The sequence below is a fragment of the Homo sapiens genome, chromosome 6 (genome assembly GCF_000001405.40).
Source record: "Homo sapiens chromosome 6, GRCh38.p14 Primary Assembly".
Classification (NCBI taxonomy): Eukaryota; Metazoa; Chordata; class Mammalia; order Primates; family Hominidae; genus Homo; species Homo sapiens.
The window spans coordinates 10,954,143-10,978,893 of record NC_000006.12 but is presented as its reverse complement, the minus strand read 5'-3'; the positions used below and the strand labels follow the sequence as shown (position 1 = coordinate 10,978,893).

The 24,751-nt window shown below is 41.6% G+C and overlaps 1 protein-coding gene across 1 annotated transcript in view, besides 4 other annotated features; it reads right to left on the bottom strand.

Moving 5' to 3' along the window:
- Nucleotides 2,211-2,711: an enhancer, noted in NCBI's record as "H3K4me1 hESC enhancer chr6:10976416-10976916 (GRCh37/hg19 assembly coordinates)". NCBI's record gives its function as "activates a minimal SCP1, AML or CMV promoter by ChIP-STARR-seq in primed H9 embryonic stem cells {active_cell/tissue: H9 hESC(primed)}" and the evidence as "EXISTENCE:reporter gene assay evidence [ECO:0000049][PMID:30033119]".
- Nucleotides 4,585-24,751, bottom strand: part of SYCP2L (synaptonemal complex protein 2 like) — an 87,258-nt gene continuing 67,091 nt past the window's right edge. Inside the window, exons 24-30 of the mRNA NM_001040274.3 lie at nucleotides 23,677-23,778; nucleotides 22,652-22,758; nucleotides 20,019-20,110; nucleotides 17,490-17,589; nucleotides 17,336-17,394; nucleotides 15,051-15,112; nucleotides 4,585-4,942 (exon numbers count right to left, since the gene is read on the bottom strand). Coding sequence (NP_001035364.2) covers nucleotides 15,088-15,112; nucleotides 17,336-17,394; nucleotides 17,490-17,589; nucleotides 20,019-20,110; nucleotides 22,652-22,758; nucleotides 23,677-23,778 — 485 coding nt within the window. The 3' untranslated portion in view covers nucleotides 4,585-4,942; nucleotides 15,051-15,087. The remainder of the gene's footprint in view (nucleotides 4,943-15,050; nucleotides 15,113-17,335; nucleotides 17,395-17,489; nucleotides 17,590-20,018; nucleotides 20,111-22,651; nucleotides 22,759-23,676; nucleotides 23,779-24,751) is intronic.
- Nucleotides 15,393-15,953: an enhancer, noted in NCBI's record as "OCT4-NANOG hESC enhancer chr6:10963174-10963734 (GRCh37/hg19 assembly coordinates)". NCBI's record gives its function as "activates a minimal SCP1, AML or CMV promoter by ChIP-STARR-seq in naive H9 embryonic stem cells {active_cell/tissue: H9 hESC(naive)}" and the evidence as "EXISTENCE:reporter gene assay evidence [ECO:0000049][PMID:30033119]".
- Nucleotides 24,064-24,358: an enhancer, noted in NCBI's record as "tiled region #7443; HepG2 Activating DNase unmatched - State 1:Tss, and K562 Activating DNase unmatched - State 12:CtcfO". NCBI's record gives its function as "activates a minimal TATA promoter and a strong SV40 promoter by Sharpr-MPRA in HepG2 and K562 cells {active_cell/tissue: HepG2 | K562}" and the evidence as "EXISTENCE:reporter gene assay evidence [ECO:0000049][PMID:27701403]".
- Nucleotides 24,257-24,306: an enhancer, noted in NCBI's record as "active region_23975". NCBI's record gives its function as "activates an Ori minimal core promoter by ATAC-STARR-seq in GM12878 lymphoblastoid cells {active_cell/tissue: GM12878}" and the evidence as "EXISTENCE:reporter gene assay evidence [ECO:0000049][PMID:35858748]".

The window sequence follows — 24,751 nt, the reverse complement described above, 5'->3', positions numbered from 1 at the left end:
CCCTAGAAACAAATGATAGATGTTGCAGATTTCTCTGAGACTGAAGCACTGTACGTAAGACAGCTCATGTAGAACCAGCTCCTATTCTTTTCAAGCTAGTTTAGACCTATGGAGTTTGATAAACTCTGGAAATAGTTATATTCAGTCTAAAAATTCATCAAATCTTGTCCAGCACTACGTATCGTGTTAGGGATATAGAATGATCTAGATGAAATATCTGTCCTCAGAGTTCATAGTCTAATAAAGTAGATAAACATTTAGCTATAAAATAAGTATTGAGGCCGGGCACAGTGGCGCACGCCTGTAATCCCAGCACTGTGGGAGACCAAGATGGGCAGATCACCTGAGGTCAGGAGTTCGAGACCAGCCTGGCCAACATGGTGAATTCTCGTCTCTACCAAAACTACAAAAATTAGCCAGGCGTGGTGGCCATGCCTGTAATCCCAGTTACTTGGCAGGCTGAGGCAGGAGAATCACTTGAACCTGGGAGGCAGAGGTTGCAGTGAGCCGAGATCACGCCACTGCACTCTAGCCTGGGCAACAGAGTAAGACTCCCTCTCAAAAAAAAAAAAAAAAAAAAAAAAAAAATATATATATATATATATATATATATATTGCCAGAGAAACATTCCTAAAGGAAGTAATGCCTGAGGTTAGTTTTGACGGGTGAAGAGTTCAAATAGACTTCAAAGAAAGTGGTGTCCCAGAAGCCAAGGAAAAAGAGAATATTTAAACAGAGAAAAACGCTGCAAGGCAGCAAGGTGAGCAACTAGTGAAGGCGTGGGGGGGGAAGGCACTGAATTTGGCCCTTGGGAGGCAGTTGGCAGATTACAGGGGGCTTTAGAATGAATGGGAAGTCGAAGAAAAACAATGATGAAGCAAGCCATATGAAAATCCTTCTGAAGAACTAGGGATGTGAAGGAACAGTTACAGTAGTTGCTGAAAGGGAGGAAGAGCTAAGGGGTGTATGTGTTGAATACTTTCAGGAGCATCTGAGTGACTGCAGCTGAGATGGAGGAGGAGGAAGCAGTAAGAAAGAAGCCGGCCCCTTGCTCAGCTCATGGGGCTGGGGCAGGGGATGCTTCAGGTGCCTTTGTCACCACAGGGAAAAATGCCCACAACAACATGCTGGCGAGACTGCAGAGAAAAGGGAATGCGTATACCCTGTTGGTGGGAATGTAAATGAGTTCAGCCCCTGTGGAGAGCAGTTTGGAGATTTCTCAAAGAACGAAAACCTGAATTACCATTCAACCCAGCAATCCCACTACTGGGTATCATCTACCCAAAGGAAAATAAATTGTTCTACCAAAAAGATACCTGCATTTGTATGTTTATCCAGCACTATCCACAATAGCAAAGACACAGAATCAACCCAGGTGCCCATCAACAGTGGATTGGATAAAGAAAATGTGGTATATATACACCATGGAATACTACACAGCCATAAAAAAGAATGAAATCATATCCTTTGCAGTGACATGGAAGCAGCTGGAGGCCATTATCCTAAGCAAATTAATGCAGGGGCAGAAAACCAAATACCGCATGTTCTCACTTATATGTGGGAGCTAAACCTTGAGTGCACATGGACATAAAAGGGGAACAATTGACACTGGGGACTCCAAAAGGCAGGGGTGGGGGAATTGAAAACCTTCCTATTGGGTACTATGCTCACTATCTGGGTGACAGGGTCAACAGAAGCCTAAACCTCAGCATCACACAATATACCCTTTAACAAACCTACACATACACCCCCGAATCTAAAATTTAAAAAGTTCTTAAAACCATAGAGTTCAATAAAAACTTAATACGATACAGGAAAGAAGACCCTTCCCTATAGTCATCTATGGCCTCTAGCAAATCCCCCTGAAAGCAGTCTACTAGAGCCCTGAACCCTGCAAAAAAACTGGCCTCGGTCTCTGTCACAGGAAGAAGGTTGGGGAAGGAGTCAAGAGGGGAGGTTGGTTCACGCAGGCCTGGTTGGCTGAGGTTCCAAGTGCAAAAGCCAGGAGTTCATCTGCTGCCTGAGGGCAAAGCAAATCCTCAGGGGAGCTGCTCGGAGGATGGAAGGTCAGAGCACAGAGGAACACCTAAAATGACAAATGAGGCTGAGGCCACAGATGGCAACAGAGTCTGCTGGGGTAGCTACAGGGCTGTTCCCGGCTACGAGTGAGTCAAAAAGGAAGGGAGCCTGAGTGTAGGGCTGGGAATGGGCCCAAAGGCTGGCTCAGTCCCCAAGGTCAGGGTGAGGAAGCTGACGCTGCTCTTCTTCCCCGAGGGCTGGATGTCAGCATCTCCAGGATGCCTCCTGGTCCAGCCTTCTCTCCGTGTTGCCTGGAAAAGCACATCGATTCCTGCATCCTGCCACCCCGCCCTGCCTTTTCAGGCCAGGGGAGCTCACACACCACCTGGCACAGCACTCCCCAGGCTGTTTTCCTGTTTCTCTGTCTAAGTGTTGGACTGATGTCTGTCTCCCCATTAGACTGCCACTCCTTGCAGGCAGGGGCAAAATCACATTGAATCCTTGGCACCCAGCACAGCACATGGCACACAGGAAGTGCTATAAGGATTCGCTGAAGAAGACAATGTGCAGTAGAGCCTCTCTAGTATTTCCAAAGAGATGTCCCCAATATCTCAAGCTCATGGTTTTTGCAACTTCCATCAACCCATCCTCAAAATTAGCTCTTTAAATCTTACACCTACCATAGCCTCTCATCTCTGTCCCCTCTTTTTCATTCCCAGTCCTATTTTAGTTGAGGCGTTTATTGTAACAGTAACCTCCCACAGTGTACTGAATGCAGCCTTCATATTGCTACCAGATTAATCTTCCAAAACCACTGTGCTCCTGATGTCTTCAGTGGCTTCTTCTCACCTACAGAATAAAGTCCTTCTAATCAAGCTGGTAAAGACACTTTAGTTTGGGCCTAGCTAAATTTAATTCCCACTAATACTCCATAGTATTATGGCCTCAAACAAATTCTGCATTTTTCTTCTCTGTTCTTATATTCATGAAAGCATCTCTTTCCTAATCCTAGAAAAAAACTCCTTCATCCTTCAAGATCTATTTCAAGTGATACCTCTCCTCCAGGAAGCCATCCTGCCACCCCAACAAAAATGACTTCTACCTCCTCATAATCCCGATGGTGATCACTTTACACTTCATTTTGGCACTTGTCACATAGAGCCTTGATTTACAGTGACCTGGGTGTCTTACTGTCCTCTCTAGACTAAGTTCTTTGCAGCTAAGATAGCGTCGTATCCATCCTAACATCTGCCACATCAGCTTACTCAAGGGTTTGTAGAGAACAGTGCTCAAATATATGCTCACTAGGTGCTGGAAGTCATATAAATTCTTCAGACGTACTTCAATGAAGACAGTCCATGTAATGGCACTGAAATCCATACACTCTCAGGTCATGAGAAACTGTGAGCCCTGAACTGGATATACCTAAACGAAATGAAGTTAGTTAACCTCATTCATGTTTTTTGGACTTAAAAAATAAGTGCTCTTGGCTGGGTGTGGTGGCTCATGCCTGCAATCCAGCACTTTGGGAGGCCAAGGCAGGCGGATCACCTGAGGTCAGGAGTTTGAGACCAGCCTGGCCAAGATGGTGAAGCCCCATCTCTACTAAAAATACAAAAAATTAGCCAGTTGTGGTGGTGTGTGCCTGTAATCCTAGCTACTCGGGAGGCTGAGGCAGGCGAATCACTTGAACCTGGGAGGGGGAGGTTGCAGTGAGCCGAGATCGGGCCATTGCACTTCAGACTAGACAACATGAGCGAGACTCCGTCTCAAAAAAGAAAAATTATATAGAAGATGGCAAAATAGGAATTATAAACGTTTTAGACAAATTAAACTATAAATTAATAACCTACATAATGTAACTAAGTTTTATTATATAGTGAATAAAGTATTCAGTCTGCAGTCTTTCACTTCACTTATCCAGTCATGAACAAAGGTACTTTGTAGATGGCCTTAAATGATGTAGGCTCCATTTTTCCAAAATAAATTCAAATGCTTACCTGTATGTGCAATTTCATCCACTCAAACTTCACTAGAGCATCTAGTAATTAATAACAACATGATGAATATTTCTGCCCTGCTAAAGGTGACACTTTTGTTGAAGTGCTGGAGAAATGAGAATATTTGCAGATCAAATGAGACCTCCTAATAAGTTTATTTTCAAAACATATCACAGGCTGGGCACGGTGGCTCATGTCAGTAATCCCAGCACTTCAGCAGGCCAAGGTGCGTGGATCACGAGGCCCAGAGTTCAAGATCGGCCTGGCCAAGATGGTGAAACCCTGTCTCTACTAAAAATATAAAAATTAGCTAGCCGTGGTGGCACACGCCTATAATCCCAGCTACTTGGGAGGCTGAGGCAGAGAATCGCTTGAACTTGGGAGGCGGACATTGCAGTGAGCTGAGATCGTGCCACTGCACTCCAGCCTGGGTGACACAGTGAGACTCTGTCTCAAAAAAATTAATTAATCAATTAAAACAAATGTAAAGCCACCATTTTTACCTGAGCTACCTTCATCATCTTCAACTCAAATTTCTCCTTCCAAGAGACACATCCAATTGTATTTATACAGATGCTGCTAAAGTGTTTTATTCACACAAAACTTGAAGACATTTCTCAAACAAAAAAAAGTCCATTTTACTTTTATAAAAAAAAAGCAACACCACTCCAAGTTGTTTAACATCCTGAACTTTCTATTAATACTATCTGACCAAATTTTAATACAAAAGGTTAATTTTTATGAACAAATGGATAATAACCCAACTGCAAACTACCAACATATATTCTATCTGAACTCAGCAGTTCCCAGGGATGATGTTTGGAGGGGAGGAAATTGAATGCGTACAGAGCACGAAGTCTGGCTAACAAGGCCTGAGCCAACAATAACCTTGCTCTTTCTCTTCGTCTTCAGGCAGCCCAGGCTGGCAGAAAAGGAAAAGGAGAGCAGTAATTAGTCAAGGCCGAACTGTCCTCCTCTTAGTCCCTAAGAACCCTGTGAGCCAATAGGAGCATCATTCCTTTTTATCCGCTACATCTCACTAACTCAGGTATTCAGTGAAGCATCTTACATGGTTGTCAAAAGCTCATGTCAGTGTCCTCGGCAGAAACTGCCTGGTTATCCTCAGAAATCTCTTCAACACATGCCACTCTGAAGATGTACCTGCCATCTCTCGATAGTTTAACCTAACAGGTGATTTTGTTGGATGTTGGAGATAAGACAGCTCTTTCTCTGTTATAGCACCAGATGAAGTGGGTGGCCTGGCTTTAGGGGCCACACTAGGAAAACTACATGTTGTTAATAGCCAGATTGGCAATCAGACCTATTATTATTATTATTATTTTGAGATGGAGTCTCACTCTGTCGCAAGGCTGGAGTGCAGTGGCACAATCTTGGCTTACTGCAACCTCTGCTTCCTGGTTCAAGTGATTCTCCTGCCTCAGTTTCCTGAGTAGCTGGAATTACAGGCGTGCAACATCATGCCCAGCTAATTTTCGTATTTTTAGTAGAGACGGGGTTTCGCCACATTGGCCAGGCTGGTCTCAAACTCCTCACCTCAGGTGATCCGCCCACCTCGGCTTCCTAAAGTGCTGGGATTACAGGCGTGAGCCACCATGCCCCACCTATCAGCCCAATTAGATGCTCATAAATAAGAGGTTGGTAGGAGCTGATATCAACTGAGGGAACAGATTCTCCCATCCCACCCAAACTCCAGGGCACATGCCTACTGAGAAGAATGGCAGAATCACCTGAGCGATATAAGTTATTTCTCCATTTTTTTCTGTGTGCAGCATGTGTAATTTAATTCAGGCATGACAGACATGACTAGTTACCTATCTAACACCTATTCTCCCCTGTTTCCTTATTAACAGAAGCCCCCACTTTTGGGGAGTGCTGTGACACACTCAGTCAAATTTTCACCTCTCCGGATTCCCTTGCAACTAGGGTGAGCCATGTGACCTAGTTCTGGCCACTATGATGCAGACAAAATCTATCAGCTTGGGCTTCCAGGAAAACTGTTTCCCTGATTTTAAAAAGTGGGGAGGAAGCTGGGCATGGTGGCAGACGCCTATAATCTCAGCATTTTGGGAGGCTGAGACAGGAGGATAAGTTGAGCCCAGGAGTTCAAGACCAGCCTGGGCAACACAGCAAGGCCTCATCTCAAAATAGACTAAATAAATAAAAAGCGAAAGAGGGGAGGATGTTGGCATACATCTTTTACCTTTTAGTTTTACTCAACTCCTTCTTCCTGCCTGGGGTGTAGAAAAGATACCTAGAGGTACAACAGCCATGCTGTGATTATAAAATTCCCAAGTCACAAAAAGAACGGTAAAGCAAAAAGCTCAAAGAACCCAGGTCCCTAATGACTACTTAAAGCTGCTGTACCACCAGCCCTGGACTACGCTGCTGCTCTTCACAGGGAAAAAAGTAAAAGCCCTATTTGGTTTAGCCGCCAGAGTCCAATTTCTGTTACTTGTGACCAAATGTAACATGCACATTTAGTTCACATTTAATCCAATTCTCTATTGGAGCTGGGAATTATTCCAATATTCTTAGCCCAGATTAGTCTTTTTTTAATATCCTCTTTTAGTCTTATTTTGATTTGGAGATTTGTTGTTATTGCTATTTCCTCAAAAGAAAACAGTATTTTTTTCCTCAATAATGTAATTCAAGGTATGTGTACAAAGATATTCACTACAAATTTTTGAATAATAATTAAAAATAACCTGGATGTCCATTATAGGGAAAAATATATAAGTTATAGCATGTTTATAAACTATTTTGCAGTTATTAAAAAATAAGATCTTGTATTGCTAAGAGGCGAGTCCTATTTTTATTGCTGAGTGAACTAATAATATATATTTAGTATATCAATTAATCAATTAATACATATTTATAGGCTGGGCGCAGTGGCTTATGCCTGTAATCCCAGCACTTTGGGAGGCCAAAGTGGGTGGATCACCTGAAGTGAGTAGTTCAAGACCAGCCTGGCCAACATGGCGACACACTCTGTCTACTAAAAATATAAAAAATTAGCCGGGTGTGGTGGGAGGCACCTGTAATCCCAGCCTCTTAGGCAGGAGAATCGCTTGAACCTCAGAGGAGGAGGTGCAATGAGCTAAGATCGTGCCACTGCACTCCAGCCTCGGCAACAAGAGCGAAACTCCTTCTCAAAAAAACAAAAACAAAAACATATATAAGTATACATGTGTAAATATTTGTATATATTCTTGTGTAAGCATCACAATAATCTTTGGAAGAATATACTCCCAACTATCAAGAGGTGGTTGTCTCTGGATCATGGATAAGAGGAAAGGCTGGAGAGAGCAAAAAATTTAACTCTTTATAAACTTTTATGTTGTTTGTTTCACAAAGTAACTCCTATCTTTCTTTCTTTCTTTTTTTTTTTTTTTTTTGAGACAGAGTCTCACTGTCTTGCCCAGGCTGGAATGCAGTGGCACGATCTCGGCTCACTGCAACCTCTGCCTCCCAGGTTCAAGCGATTCTCCTGCCTCAGCTTCCCAAGTAGCTTGGACTACAGCCTCGTGCCACCACACCCGGCTAATTTTTTGTATTTTTAGTAGAGATGGGGTTTCACCATGTTAGCCAGGATGGTCTCGATCTCCTGACCTCATGATCTGCCTGCCTCGGCCTCCCAAAGTGCTGGGATTACAGGTGTGAGCCCGACCCCCTATCTTTCAGTAAGTTGTAAAAGCACAGAATGGCCTAAGATAGAAATTAAATTTACTTTAAATATCACCACACAGAAATAAACCCAGCTGACATTTCTAGAACATCCATTTAGAATCTAGACCTCTTACTTCACAGGCAAGTACATAAATACATGCAAACTCTGATCCTCGGTAACCGCCTTCCCCCAGCCCAGTTATCTCCACACTTGATCTTAGCCAAAAGGCCTGGGGGTGATGGCCCGATTATCTCATTAGTCACTCCTTCTCATCCTCTTGCTGGCTTCATCTCCCCTACCTGACTTCAACACACTGGAGTAGCCCAAGAATGTTGTCCTGGGCTTCCTCTCTATACTGAGTCCCTAGGTCAACTTATCCAGTCTATGTCCAGCCCCCAGCCATGAGCTTCAGTCTCAGATATCCAGTTACCTACATGACAATGCCATTCAGATGCTGAAATCACATATGGAATGCATGTCCTGAATCTCACCTTTCATATCCATCCTCATCCTTCCCCGGCCAATCAACTGGACCTTTCCCAATCTCCTCCACCTCCTTAAGTGACAGTGGTTTGCACCCAGCTGCTTAAGCCCCAAACCTAGAAGCTGCCCTTGATCCTGCCTTTTCCCACCTGTCACATCCAAGCCATCAGCAATCCTTCCAGATCCTTCTCTACTGCCCATATCATCCAATTCCCCACCCTGAAACATACATGCCTTCGAAAATAGTCCTTTGACTACTACCCATTCATTGCAATTGGAATAAAATCCAAACTCCTTACCACGGCCTGTAAGGTCCTGGGTCACCCCCACCATCCACACCCACACCCTTCCTGACTTCATCTTATGTACTCTACCCTTGCTCCTTCTATTGGGGCCTTCCCTAAATTCTTAGAATATACTAAGTATATTAATATACTTAATCTCAGAGCATCTGCCTGGGCCATTCCCTCTGAAATGGGCTTCCTCAGTCTTCCCTGCTGCTGGCTCCATCTCGACCTTCAGACTTCAGCTCAAATGTCATATCCTTAGAGAGGTTTCACTTGGTTTCCTCCTTCCACGCTGTGAGTCTCTCTCTTATCCACAGTGTTTTCCTTCTTAGCACTGGCATGAATCCTCATCTGTTTCCTTTATTACCACACTCAATCCTATAGAATGTACACCATGAGGTCAGGGATCCTGTGGGTATCATTCTACCCCAGCATCTAAGACAGTCCCTGGCACCTAAAAGACTTAGCTGTTTACTGAGTAATGAGCAGGCACATACTCATATAACATTTCATACAGGTGGGATCATGTTATATATGCTACTTTGCGACTTTTCACTTACTGTTAAACATCTTCTCAAGTCAATTAATATCATGTAAATCTTTCTTTGTAGTGGCTACATGGCATATCATATGACTGTATTTAGCTGGGCATCTAGGCACTTTCCATTATCTCCCTATTATGATCAAGTTTGTAATATATATTATTGCACGTATCTTTGCACATGTCCAATTTCATCTTTAAGATAATTTCCGGCCAGGCGCGGTGGCTCACACCTGTAATCCCAGCACTTTGGGAGGCCGAGGCGGGCAGATCACGAGGTCAGGAGATCGAGACCATCCTGGCTAAAACGGTGAAACCCCGTCTCTACTAAAAATACAAAAAAAAAATTAGCTGGGCGTGGTGGCGGGCGCCTGTAGTCCCAGCTACTCGGGAGGCTGAGGCTGGAGAATGGCGTGAACTCAGGAGGCGGAGCTTGCAGTGAGCCAAGATCATGCCACTGCACTCCAGCCTGGGCGACACAGCTAGACTCCATCTCAAAAAAAAAAAAAAAAAAAAGATAATTTCCTAGAAGGGGAATTATCAGGTCAAAAATAACAAAGCACAGTCTTGGACATGAAAGCAGTTTTTAAAAAAATCACCTACTCAGTTTACTCTCAAGTTAAAATTAAACTAAATACATGTTTTGCAAAAATAACTACTATACTCTTCAAGGTAAATAGAATTACATCCTTATAAAAATATACTTGGAGATGGTCTGCTTACAAAATCTACTTTAGACCTCTAAATTGAAGAAAATCCCCAAGTGGATATCTGTATAAAAAGCCCTATTATTAAATGCTGTGAGAATGAACAAAATAATATTCAAAGAATCCAACTGAGTGGGAGGGTTGCTGTCCTTCAAGAGACTGCATCTAAGAAGAGAATAGTTGGTGGTTGTCTCACACATTCCATACTTATGTACTCTGTGATCCTCCATGACTCTGCCAGAAAACTCACGAAGTGGTACCACCATCAGCTGATGGACCATTCAGCAGAACACAGGGCTCTCAGAGATAACTATAAGCTCCCTCCTTCAAAAAGCTTCGAAAAGTCAGCTCCATTGGTCTCAAATCCCCTTGCTTTAGTAGCTGCTGAAAGACAGTCATCATCCCCCACACCCTCACCTGATGCTGTGCGTACATCTCCTCCTGGACCCCAGTCTACCTACTGCTCTTCCCTGCCTTCCCCACTCCCTGAGGTCTTTCTCTCCTGCCCCTACAATTCAATCTGTCAGCAGCAAACAAATATCCTCAGCCTCTTCTGGAAGAAAATATTTCCTTTCCTCTTTAAAACATGGCTGGTTTCTGAAGGTACCACCTCCCCTGACACCCTGACTCAACTAAAAGCTTTTTTTCCTCTGATATCCCATGACTTCCTGGCCAGGCAGAGGGGTAGCATTCTCCTTGCTCCCCACTGCCACATGCAGGCATGACTCTTGACTCTCACAGAAACCTCCCTGCTGATGTTTATGTCAACCATCTGCATTCTACTATCAACCTCCTGGCCCCTTTGTCCACTGGGCCCTGGTTCCTATCAGCTTAGCAGTAATTACAACACTGTCATGAAGCATCCGTTTTCAAGCTCTGGCTTCTTGGTTCTTCAACTCCTTCCCTCCTCTAGCAGTTTCTTCAGTGCCACCACAGCTATGTGCACCCCAACCTGTTATCATCACAGATGTCTTGATTCTCAACATCCCACATTCTGACCACATCTTCCTGGCCTTTCACCATCACTTCTTCTCCTTGCTTACCTGGACAATTTTATCCACTGGAAATGCCCATCCATTGAACCCATTACTTTATAACTGGTCCATCGAAGGAACTGGCTTCTATTTCTCTTTCCCTGTCAGACAAAGTGCATCACTCTAACAACTCCTGAGCAAACACCCTCAATTTCTTGGACTGAGATTGCCTCTGGATTCTGGCAAAACCACTCCCCTAGATGAAGCCTTCTCTCTACTTTCTTTACACCTGAATCTGAGCAGAATTTTGCTGGAGAAAAATCATGCAAGAAAGCTCATTACAAACCTCAAAAGGGCACTTAAGGCCCACCAGAAGTTACTAGAATCAGCACTATGCTAACTAGGAAGAAAGAACCGAAATTATTGTTAATGATTTTAAATGTTTTGCCATTAAGTTTAGTATTGCTGCAGACATTCTATCCCTAGTTTTCTAAGAGTCTTATTGTTTATTGGTTGGATTTTACTCATGAATGGGTGCTGAATTTTTATCAAATGTGTTTTCTGAATTTACTAGAATAAGTATGTGGTTATTCTATTGATCAGGTAAAAATAAATTAATAGATTCTTAAATGTTAAACCATCCTTGCATGTATGATATCCATCTACTTCTAATGGTTTTTCTTTTTTTCTCCTCAATACACACACACACACACACACACACACACACACACACACACACCCTCTACCCCATACACATAACTAATACTGGTGGAGTATATTTGCTAAATTTTTAGCATTTTTGTATTTATGTTCATTTGAGACTGATCTATAATTTTCTTCTCAGGATTGTCCTTGTCCTGTTTTGGTATCAAAGTTATAGAAACTTCCTAAAATAAACCGGGAAGCTTTCTTTTTTTCCCTTTTTCCTTGGAATCATTTGTTTATGGATTACTTATTCCTTATAAATTTGATAAAACTTATATTAAAAATATCAGGACCTGATGTATTTTTTATAAATTAAGGATGGGCTTTTTATACTACCAATTTAATTTCTTTAATTATGATTCTAGGTAATACATATTCATCTAGGAAATTGTTCATTTCATCTAAGTTTTCAAATTTATTGACATATTGCTGTTTCTAATATCTTCTTATGCTTTTTAAGACCTCTATGAATTGGTTATTTCTACATTGGTTATTTCTACATTTCAATCATATTCATCTAGAAAATTGTTCATTTCATCTAAGTTTTCACACTTATTGACATATTGCTGTTTCTAATATATTCTTATGCTTTTTAAGGCCTCTATGAATTGGTTATTTCTACATTTCATTCAAAATTTCATTGTGCCTTCCCTATCATTTTATTTTCTTGATCAGTCTGAAGTGGAAGTTTGTTTACTGCATCTAGTCTTTCTAAAGAACCAGGTTTGGTTTTACTCCTCCTCCTATGGTTTCCATTTTGTTTATTTCAGATTTGAAACTCATTATTAACTCCCTTCTAATTGCTTTGGACTTGTACCAGTACTCTTTTTTCTAATTTGTTTTTCAATCATGTTCAATCTACTTTTTCCCCTGTCCTTGTCCTTACACATTAGAATCAGCTGGTCAAGTTTCAAAAAATAACCCTGCTGGGGCTTTGGGGAATAAAAATTATTTTACTAATTTAGGCAGAATGGACGCCTTTATGTTATTCCATCTCCCATCCATTGGTCCTGATTTTAGTGATAATGCATTTAGAATTTCACGATTAAGCAGAATACTGGCTTTTGGACTGAGATTTATCATACTACAGAGTAACTAATCGCTACTATTTTATTAGGTTTTATGCAAATTCAAAAACAGATGTAGAATTTTCAAATGCTTTTGGAAATAAAGATAATCAAAATGATTTTTCTCCCTAGATCTACTGGTAATTAATGTATTAGTAGATTCCCTAATATCGAACCATCTTTGCATTCCTGGAATAAATCTCACTTGGTCATGACAATATGCTGCTAAATTCTGTTTGCCAACACTTTATTGAGAATTTTGGTGTGGTTGTTGTTGTTGTTATTGTTGTTGTTATTATTATTATTATTGAGACAGAGTATTGCTCTGTTGCCCAGGCTGGAGTGCAGTGGCATGACTTCAGCCCACTGCAACCTCTGCCTCCTGGGTTCAAGCAATTCTCCTGCCTCAGCCTCCCAAGTAGCTGGGATAACAGTTGCCCATCACCACACCTGGCTAATTTTTGTATTTTTAGTAGTGATGAGGTTTTACCGTGTTGGCCAGGCTGGTCTCAAACTCCTGATCTTAGGTGATTCACCCGCCTTGGCCTCCCAAAGTGCTGGGATTATAGGCATGAGCCACCAGGCCCAGCCTAGAGTGGTTATTTTAAGTGAGATTGTTCTGTACCTCTCTTTGCAATTTTTGTTGCATTTTGACATGGTAATGCAAGATTTATGTTAAAATTAGGAAATGTTTAATCTTCTATGTGCTAGAATGGTTTGAGCAGCACTAACATTATCCTTCTTTTAAAAAACTAGTAGAATTCCTCTGTAATGTAATCTGGATCATACACATATTTGTAGGGTACTTCTCTGACAACTTTGTCTCTCTCTTCTATGAAGATTTGTCTGCTAAGGTTTCCCATCTATTTAGAAGTCCATTTTGTTAAACTGTATTTTCCTGGAAAATTGCCCAGTTACTCCAGGTTCCTGTCAAGACTTGGATGTGCACAGACATCTGCCAGTTAAAATGTTAAATAAACTGTAGTTCCTGTTTGACCCACATATTCTTCCCACCCTGAGTCTTCCTTATCTAACTGGCAACACCATCCATCTCACTGCAAAAGACAAAAACCTAGAAGACTGACTTCATTCTTCTTCCTTTACCTACTGCTTGCAGCTATCAGCAATTTATTAACTCCAGCTCCAAAATATATCTGAAATCTATTTCTCACCACCTCCACTGCTATCCTCCTGCTTAGAACCACCAACTTGGACACCAAACGCCTTCTGGTTGGACTCTCCTCATCCAGTCTTCATTCCTCCCATCAATTCTTAACATAGCATCTAGAGTAATTTTCTTAAAATATAAATCAGATTATATTATCCTAATCTATTCCTAGATTAGGATAATCAATGGCTTCACCAAAAACCACATATATTTTCTCTAACCCTTAGTATAAAATTCAAACTCCTCAACATGGACAATGAAGTCTTACCTCGTTGAGAGTCTACCATCCTCCCAATTCACTTCAAATAACTGCTTCCCTTACTCACTGTTTCTCAAAGATGACCATACCTGACCCTGTTACTTTAAACCACAAGTCTAGTTTCTTCTTATTCTTGAAACCTCATCTTAAATGTCATTTCCTCAGAGAGACCTTGAAGTGTCTTAAGCTGACACTTCATACCACTGTTCTCTGCCAAAGCACCTTGTTGATATCTCTCAAAGCACTTGTTGTCATTGTTTTGTTTACTTGCCATTTTTCTATCTTCCTTCAAAAAATGTATCTTTTAATGGGTTGCCTCCATTAAACACGTTTGTGTATTAACCACTGAACAGGCTGAACATACCTAATCTGAAAATCTGATATCCAAATTTTTTAAATTTTTAAAATTTAAATTTTAAATTTTTAATTTAATCCAAAATTTTTAAAATGTCAATGTCAAAGAAATGTTCACTGGAGCATTGTGAATTTCAGATTTTTAGATTAAGGATGCTCAACCAGTGCATATTCTGCAAATATTCCAGAATCCAAAAACATCTGAAATCTGAAACACTTCTGGTCTCATGCATTTTGGATGAGGGATACTCAACCTGTATCTCTATGTCCATCATAGTGATTGATGCAGGGTAAGCATTCAGTTATAAACACTTACTGAAGGAATGACCCAGACCCAAAAGGATAATTTCTAAAATGGGAGAAATTGCTATAAAGGAGAAGCTCTGCCAGGCACAGTGGCTCACGCCTGTAATCCCAGCACTTTGGGAGGCCAGGACAGGCGGATCACATGGTCAGGAGATCGAGACCATCCTCGCTAACATGGTGAAACCCCATCTCTACTAAAAATACAAAAAATTAGCCGGGCGTGGTGGCGGGTGCCTGTAGTCCCAGCTACTCAGGAGGCTGAGGCAGGAGAATGGCGTGAACCTGGGAGGCGGAGCTTGCAGTGAGCCGAGATCATGCCACTGCACTCCAGCCTGGGTGACAGAGTGAGACTCCATCAAAAAAAAAAAAAAAATGGAGAAGTTCCGCTGCAGAAATGTCATATGAACAAAGCATTACAGTATCTTTTAGAGCTTGCTCCCTGCCCTGACCCCGATTCACATCCACTGAACAATGCAAATCTTTGCACCTACCTGAGGGCTGCAATCATAAAACCAGGCTTTGGCTTTCTTATGAAGTCTGAGTTGAATTGAACCTGGAAGAAATTGGTCCATCTCTTATTATATTCACATTAGACAATTTAAAAACAAGAACATACATCTAGATACATCTGCATATCAGAGTTATTTCACAGACCATTATATTACTTAATTATAGACACCAACACCCCAGGATATTAACGTAAGAGATTAACATGTTCATCTGATTCCATTTTATGCATTCTCTCTGTCAGTACCACAGACCCACAACATATGCAGAGGTATTTCATGGGCACCATCAAAGCACTGAATCCCTAGCACCTTGTAGTTCTAAGCTAGGGGCTGAAATAATCCAGTCTGAGGGATATTCTTTTCATTTCTTTAACAAAACACATACGCCATCACTGACATGAAAACATAAGATAAGGACAGACAAGGGATACCTGTTTGACCTTGAATGAGGCTTACTAACCTCTTGTAAGGCCCTTTGCACATCAAGGACTCAGCCCAGGGCCAGGCACCCATAAGCACTCAGCGTGAGCTAAGAGAATCACCATCATCCCTCACTGGCAAGCAAGAGGAAAGTTTTCTTAGGTGTTTGGAAGAGAAAAGAACAAACACAAAACCCCAGGGGAGGTATATTTAGGAGATGGTTGTTTTTAAGGTATTTAAATTCACACAGGGACCTGTTATCAAAGGGAGATGAATGCAAATAGTAATTAACATCTTAAAGTGTTTGAAGAGAGAGTTGCCTAATATTGGGGATTTAGTCAAAATAAATGAATCCCCCAGGTTTCAGAAGACTAGGGGATATAATCTCTAGTGCTTAACACAGTGTGGCTTTTTATCAGCTGTTCTCAAAGTGTGCCTGGGGAAACCCTAAGAAACCAAAGGTTCTGTGAAGTCAAAATTATTTTGGTAATAATAATAACATTAAGACATTATTTGCTTTTTAAATTCTTACTCCCTCAAAAATGTCCAGGGGAATTTCCCATAGGCTACATGACTCACAACAGATGAAACTCAGAAACAGATACGAGAATCCAGCTGGCTTCTATTAAGCCAGACAGTAAAGAGATTTGCAAAAACATGAAGCAATGCTATTCTTCCCACATGCTTCTTGTTCTGAAAAGTCATAGTTATTTTTCATATAAATCTGTTATTTATATCAACACGAAAAGGTTTATTGTTGTTATTTTAAAATAAGTGTATTTTTAAAAATCTGTCTCAATTTTTAATATGAAAAATATTCACAGATAGAACCCACATAAGCAAAAGGTCTTTGGGGATCCTCAATAAATGTTAAATATGTAAAGAGGTCTTGATTCCAAGACCTTGGAGAACCACTAACTACCAACCATGGGTATTAAGTGAAGATGGTTTAAAAGGTGTCATCACCTTTAACTATACACAGAGGGAGATGGTGTGTGAGGGATTGTGGAAATGGTTCATACAGTCATCATCATTAACTGTGGTAATTGGAGTAAAAGGCAGGATGGATAACTCAAATTTTAAAAGATTTTTTTTTTTGCTTTGGAATATATGCATAGGAATATATGCATAGGTTTTAGGAAGAATATCCTTCCTAAAACCATGTGCCTTAAATTTCTGTGAAAGCAGCTGATTCTCAATTGGAAGATAAAGCTTTAACTATTATAAATTTATATGGGGATTCCTTTTGATTATTCGAGTGGGAAAGAACACTAGAATTTTCCCGCAGGGCAGAAGTAGAGGATCCAGACTCAACTCTCCCCTTCCTTGGGCTCCAGAAGATGGGACGATATCCCAAATGGATAGAAAGAGCTTCCCCAGAGGATGTATTGATGAATTACAGTGCAGGGAGCCACAGCAGGATCAACCCATTTGTTGTTTTAAAAAATGTGTAAATGAGTAAAATAGAATATAGTCTATCAAAAGCACAATTTTGTATATAACTGAACATTTGTATAAAACTGAAAACTGTTTACTTAGAAACCTAAACATTTTTCTCAAAATCTAACCATTTTAATTTTAAAAAATACTGCTTAAAAATAAAAAAATTGGGATTTTAAAAAAACACAGAAAATTGGACATCAGGCTTTTCAAGATTTACGCCTCTCGAATGGTATCATTAGCCGCACTCTGTCCTCAGGGAGGTGCCACAGAAGTGGCCGGTTCAAAAGATGCAGCTATTTCATTAGTTATGGGAGTTTTACCGTCACCAACTGCCCATTCTCTAGCTAAAGCATTACCTCATACTTCAACCAAGATTCTTCTAGAAAGAACACCTTTCAAAGTACCTCAGCACTTGCAGATCACAGAAAGATTGCAGATCAGCAGACTGTTTCCCCCAGAATTCCTAAGATTGAACAAAAGTTTTGTTTAAGTAGCTAGCGTTATTTTTCCCTGGGAAAGATCCGAAGTCAGAAAATGTTCCACACAAAAAGAACTTACCAGAACCTCCTTCTCAAGGTGTTCCAGGGCCTGAATATCCTGCTTAAGACTGCTCAACTCTTGAAGAACCAAATTTTGAAAGCGCTCTAGTTTATTGAGTCTAATAAACATAAAAGCAGTAAATATCATTGGGATCGCTTGGATGTGACAGCAGACTTTCTTAATAAGTCATCTGATTACAAGGATACTTCAGACTCTTCTCCAGACATTTCTTGTCATGGGAACATGTAGTATCTCCCTTCTCTTCCCTCCCCTCCCTGCCTGCTCATCCCCAATCTGGAAACCTCACTATGCAAACTCTCAGGTCATCTTTTTTTTTTTTTTTTGAGATGGAGTTTCACTCTTGTTGCCCAGGCTGCAGTGCAATGGCGTGATCTCAGCTCATTGCAACCTCCACCTCCCAGGTTCAAGTGGTTCTCCTGCCTCAGCCTCCATACTAGCTGGGACTACAGGCGCGTGCCACCACGCCCAGCTCATTTTTTTCTATTTTTAGTAGAGACAGGGTTTCACCATGTTGGCCAGGCTGATCTCAAGCTCCTGACCTCAGGTGATCCGCCTGCCTCAGCATCCCAAAATGCTGGGATTACAGGCGTGAGCCACCGTGCCTGGCCTCAGGTCATCTTTCAATAGCAGCACAGAGGAAGCTGATTTTTTTTTAGTAGAGAACAAAAGGACAGATGACTCCAGGGAAGATGAGACTGAGGCTCCCCATCCCTTCCTACCTTCCACTTGCTCCCCTTTCTCTTGCATTAAGCTGGCCCTGAAACCTGTGGTCAGGAATGAGCTAATACACTCTTTTCCCACATCTACATTTTAGCTCTAACATTTCTAAGAGTCACTGTTCTTTGTCTAATGGTCATATTTGCTTATTTGTTAATTTTCTTATTTGCTTGCTTATAGTTTGTCTTCTCTATTAGGTCAAATGTTTCAATGAAAAGCACCTAAAACTCATCCTCACCTCACTCTCATACCAAGCACAGGGCCTGGTATCCGACATTGCCCAGTGTGCATTTGCTGAGTGAATACACAGATAACTGTGTGCCCCTGAAAGAGCATGGGAATTCCACCAATCCAAAGTCCTTCGTGGGCTTGCTTTGACATTCAAAGGACATTGCATGCACACCAGACTTTGAAAAATAGTAAAAATTTCTATTCAAATAATGTATTCCATCCTAAGAAAATTTCTGTCTCAGTTAAGCAAATCAACTTGCCATTCCTTTCTTCCCTTCCTTCATTTACAGGCCATTCTCTCCAACAAAGGAACAATTTCTACTCTCACCTTCCCTGTGCCATTCAAATCTTTGTTTCTAAAACCTCACTCAGGAAGCACTTCCATTGGTAATCACTCTGAATTAACTCAAATCACTACAGAAACCCATCCCTCCACTACCTTTCCTCATCCCTCTGAAATCCTGGCACCTCTGTATTTCTTGTTACATGGTCATAAGGGTGTGTGTGTGTCCAGGTGCATGTGCAAATCTGTGCACTGTGTGTGTATGGTGTTTTCTTTTCTTTCTTTCTTTTTTTTTTTTTTTGAGACAGAGTTTTGCTCTTGTTGCCCAGGCTGGAGTGCAATGGCATGATCTCAGCTCACCGCAACCTCCGCCTCCCGAGTTCAAGCGATTCTCCCGCCTCAGCCTCCCAAGTAGCTGGGATTACAGGCATGCGCCACCACGCCTGGCTAATTTTTTATTTTTAGTAGAGATGGGGTTTCTCCATGTTGGTCAGGCTGGTCTCGAACTCCCGACCTCAGGTGATCCACCCACCTCAGCCTCCCAAAGTACCGGGATTACAGGCGTGAGCCACCACGCCTGGCTGGTGTTTTCTTACTGTGGTAAAATACACATAACATAATATTTATACCCTTTTAACCATTTTTAAGTATAAAATTCAATGGCATTAAGTACATTCACAGTGTTTTGTAACCATCATCACTATCCATTTCCAGAACTCTTCCATCATCCCAAACAGAAACTCTGTACCCATTAAACCACAGCTCCTCCTTTCCCCAACCTTTGGCAACCTGTGTTGCACTCTCTGCCTCTATGAATTTGACTATTCTAGGTACACCTCATTTAAGTGGAGTCATATAACATTTGTCCCTTGTTATCTGGCTTCTTTCCTTTAGCATAATGATTTCAAGGTTCATCCATGGTATAGCATGTGTCAGAATTTAATTCTTTTTTAAGGCTGAATAACAGACCATTGTATGGATATAGCATATTTCATTTAGCCTGTATTTTTAACATATATTTCCATGCTTGCCTTCTCTTCATAACTGGATAATGATTTTTTTAAGAACAGCATTTTAGTATCATGGTAGACCATGAGGAGGCTTAAGATGGACATTTAGTTCAAACCCTTTTCATATGAATGAAGAACCGGAAACCCAGAAGGGTTAAATGATGTATCAATCCTCACATCTGCTCAGGCCCCAACTCCTCAGGGCCCTAGCACAGTGGTCATGAGATAAACGCTGTTGGTGAGTGATCACACTTCCACGACCTTGTTTTGAAACCTAAAACTTACCTGAACAGTTGCATCTGGTTTAAAAGTTTTATTAGGCAATCCGGTGCTTTCTTTGCATTTTCTGAATTAAACGGACGCTTTCTGTACCTAAGCTAAATCATAACAACAATAACAAGATGATCACATTTAATATAATTACATAAGTTGAGTGCATGCTTTGTGTTAAAAAGATGCTGCCAGCATGTAATAATATTCATAGCAAATGTGAGTGCTAAGCAAGTGTGATCAGGCATCATCCTATACACCTGTCAGGTATTACCCCAGGTTCAGGACCAATACAGAACAAGTTGAAATAGAAAAATTTACACTCATGCTACCTGATATAGTTTGCATATTTGCCCCCACCCAAATCTCATATTGAAATGTAATCCCCGATACTGGAAGTGAGGCCTGGTGGGAGGCGTTCGGGTCACGGGGGCGGATTCCTCATGGCTTGGTGCCATCCTCACAACAGCGAGTCATGACACCTGGCTGTTTGAAAGTGTGTGGCACCTCCCCGCCCCTTGCTCCTGCTCTCCCTATGTGACACGCCTGCTCCCCCTTGGCCTTCCACCATGAGTAAAACTCCCTGAGGCCTCCCCAGAAGCCAAGCAGATGCCAGTGCCATGCTTCCTGTATGGCCTGCAGAACCTTGAGCTAATTAAACCTCTTTTTTTAAAAAAAAATAAATTATCCAGTCTCGGGTATTTATTTATAGCAATTCAAGAATGGCCTAATATACTACCAATACACACAATGAATACTATGAATAAATTTCTATTACTAATTGGCTTACATTGGTATCACAGAAAATAAGACTCTGGAGATCTAAGTTAATTAAATGAATGTTGGTTAGAGTAATATACTTTTCTCAAATGTACTAATAAATAAGTCATTTGGGATTATAAGTAACAGGACAAAAAAGGAAAAGACTGAAATGGTTCCAATATTCATCTTGTAGACAAGATTTTGGGATGGGCTGTATGCACAGTGTCTCAAAGGTCTGCCACCACTCAGCCGGCCACCAACCCACAGTCCACCTCCGTCTTTGTCTCAGATTGCTCTTTTTTAAAAAAAATAGAGACATGGTCTTGCTCTGTTGCCTAGGCTGGAGCACAGCGGCATGATCATAGCTCACTGTAACCTTGAACTGCTGGACTCAAGGGATTCTCTTACCTCAGCTTCCTGAGTAGCTGGGACTACATGTGTATGTCACCATGTCTGGCTAATTTTTAAAAACATTTTTTGTAGAGACAGGGTCTCACTATGTTGCACGGGCTGATCTTGAACTCCTGGCCTCAAGCGATTCTCCCCCCTTGGCCTCCCAAAGTGCTGGGATCCACAGGCATGAATCACCATGCCCGGCCCCAGACTCCTCTCTAGCCCACTTGGTTCCATCCTTCCCCTCCTCCTTGTCTATCACTGTGACCAAATCATTGCTTTCTGGTAGTTCAGTTGTCTGAAAATGCTACCAATGAAACCAAACTATCAGTCTGATTTACACATAGGTCCACTTGGTCCCACTGGGGCAAATGGACATGGAATAGCTGTCTTATAAATACAAACCACAATTCACGAAGACTGAAATCAGTGACCACAGCTAAGACAAATACCCCTCCCCAAACACTTAGAAGCACTTTCACATATGAAGGTCAACAACAGCATTGATAAGTAATATGAACTTGTTACTTTAAATTCATAATGAACTACCTTTTCCTTCTTTCCTCTTTTTCAGCTTTGTTGAAGTATAATTGACAAATAAAAATCAGGCCAGGTACAGTGGCTCACACCTGTAATCTCAGCAGTTTGGGAGGCTGAAGCAGGAGGATCACCTTAGGCCAGAAGTGTAAGACCATACTGGGCAACATAGAAAGACCCTATCTCTACAAAAAATTTTAAAAAATTAGCCAGGTGTGGTGGCATGCACCTGTAGTCCCAGCTACATGGGAGGCTTAGGTGGGAGGATCACTTGAGCCCAAGAGTTCAAGGTTAGAGTGAACTATGATTTCACTGCTGCACTCCAGCCTTGGCAACAGAACAAGATCCTATCTCTAAAAAACTAAAAACAAAAGTGTTATGTATTCAAGGTATACACATGATTGATATACATATAAACTGTGAAATGATTACCACGGGCCAAGCTTGGTGGCTTACACCTGTAATCTCAGCACTTTGGGAGGCCGAGGCAGGTGGATCACTTGAGCCCAGGTGTTTGAGACCAGCCTAGGCAACATAGTGAGACCTCATCTCTACTTAAAAAAAGATTTTTTAATGATTACCACAATCAAGCAAATTAACATATTCATTACTTCACACAGTTACCTTCTTGGGGGGTGGTAGGAATACTTAAGATATACTCTCTTAGCGAATTTCAAGTATACAGTACATTATTACTAACTATAGTCACCATGCTGTATGTTAGGTCTCCAGAACTTATTAACTTGTAACTGAAAGTTTGTATGCCCCATCCAACATCTCCCATTTCCTCTAACCCTGACCCCTGGTAACCACCCTTCTCCTCCCTGTTTCTGAGTTCAACTTTTTTTAGATTTCAATATAAGTGAGACCATGTGGTACTGTCTGGCTTATTTCACTTAGCATAATGTCCTCCAGATTCATAACGCTCTAGTTTTTTAAGTTTTGTGGACTACTACCTCATATTTTCTTTTCCGTTTTTTAGTGAAGTTTTCAAAGGTTGGGAGAATGGCAGAACCGTTCAAGTTCTCTGGCACAACTTCTAGGGATGAAGTGGAAATTCCTTCTGGAAAACAAAAACAAAACATGGAATAAAACTAACAAAGTGTTCAAAGTAGACTTGCTCAATTCATCAGTTGCCCAGAGGATGAGTTATTTGGAAGCACAGATGCGAACCATGGAAGCCCCGCTGACTGCCTGGACATGACCTCGCTCTCTGGAAAGTGCTCATTTCTTCTATATCTTCCCAGCACTTTAAATCGGGGCAACTGACATTTTGTCTAAGAAGCAGGCCAAGGTGTTGTAATAGGTTCTAAGGAGGACATATAGCTAGGGTATTTCTCTGGTGTAACTGCTTCTGGGTGCCAGTCTTCAGAGGGCTTGCAAGGGGTCTGGTGCTGTTCTGAGGGATTTGCAAGCATCAATTAAGTCTCACAAAAATTGTGTGAAGTAGGTACTGTCAGGATTCCCATTTAACAGAGCTTGCATAAGTCTTGCATGCTCATACCAGCAGCTCCTGGATTCAAATCCAGGCTGTCTGGAATCAATGCTTTCAAATCTGTTGCATTGGAGCCCTTTGTTTCAAAATGCATGGTACCATTTGTCCAGAAGGCCAGCCTCAAACATGCAGACATTCCAGATCATTCTTCTTAATCGGTATAGATATTTCTCACACAAAAATTTGGTTGATAACTATCAACCATATCAGAGACCTATAACTTTAGGAACCCTTGGGCCCTGAAAATTCCCAGAAGGAAGAGTTACGAGGAAGAAATAAAAATGCTAGGGGATAATGGCACTTGCTTTTATCTATAATTTGTGCAACAACTTATTTGTCTCCAAAAGCACAAAAGCTTAGTTTTTAGGATTTTGTAGCTACTATGATCTTAAAACTATACCTCCCTTGTGATTCATGTTGTTACATCCTGTGCTGACCCATTTATCCCACTCCTACTTGAACCATTGGCTGGGTGCATGATGTTACCTGGCAACTCTCTTTCTTCTGTTATTGAGAAAGGGGATCCCGGAGCAACCTCTTCTTCCAATCTTGATTGTTGTGACTTAGCAAAACTACCTTCTGGTATGTCTACAGGCAAACAGAGCACATTTCCTTTTGACCCGAAATTATCTTGTTCATTTTTTGGCAGTTAATGTCTTACTGTGAAGAGTACCATCTGAAACTTGTCCCCTGCCTGTTGCTAATGAGTTATCATTCGGTGCATCGACTAGGCACAAACCAAGTATCGAAGCACGATGTCTACTGATACCTGAACATGGGAACAGGCATCCCTTTGATGAGCTCAGTTACATTTAGGAACACTCTGCTTAGCACAGACCCCTCACTAGGCAGAGCGTTCCTAAGTTAAGCAGTAATGGTAGACATCAAAAGCAACGCTTCCAGGGCTCTGAGCTAAATAGCAAGACAGCAAGGTTTCCAGGCAGATGGGCCTTTGGAAGTGCTTCAGCTCACACCCCGGAGCGCGCCATCTGCTGGTGACACGGGCACATCGGCGCTATGCTGAAGGCTACGTCATAAACGAGGCCATCTTGCCTCCTCACAGCTCAAGTGATTTTGAGAGACTCGAACATAGATTCCCATTTCAATTCAGCATAACACTAAATATTTTCTATTCTGATGTTCACTTTTATCCCAGACATGTCTGGTCCTCATCATCTTATCAATGGCACCACCATGGTTCACAGAGCCCTGGCTTTATGCTCAACTCCTCCTTTTCTTTGCTGCCCGCTTCTCCTCCATCCTCAAGGTTCTGCCTATGGAATGAATCCCTCCCTCTCTGAGTTCCTGCCCAAAGCCATCTCCCTAGAGGAAATCGTCAATCCTTCACCTTCAATTGTCACTTCCAAATCTCTCTCTTGCCTGAGCTCTCTCAAGCGGCCAACTTGTGTCTCCAAGTATTTGACATCTTTACTTCAAACCCCACTCGAGTCTATCCCTCCCACTTAAAACCACTCTCTCCCCCGCACTGTACCTTTAGTTGTGACATCATCTGACTTCTCTTTTGTCACATGCCTGTCTAGTTGCTGTTGGTTTTTCTCTC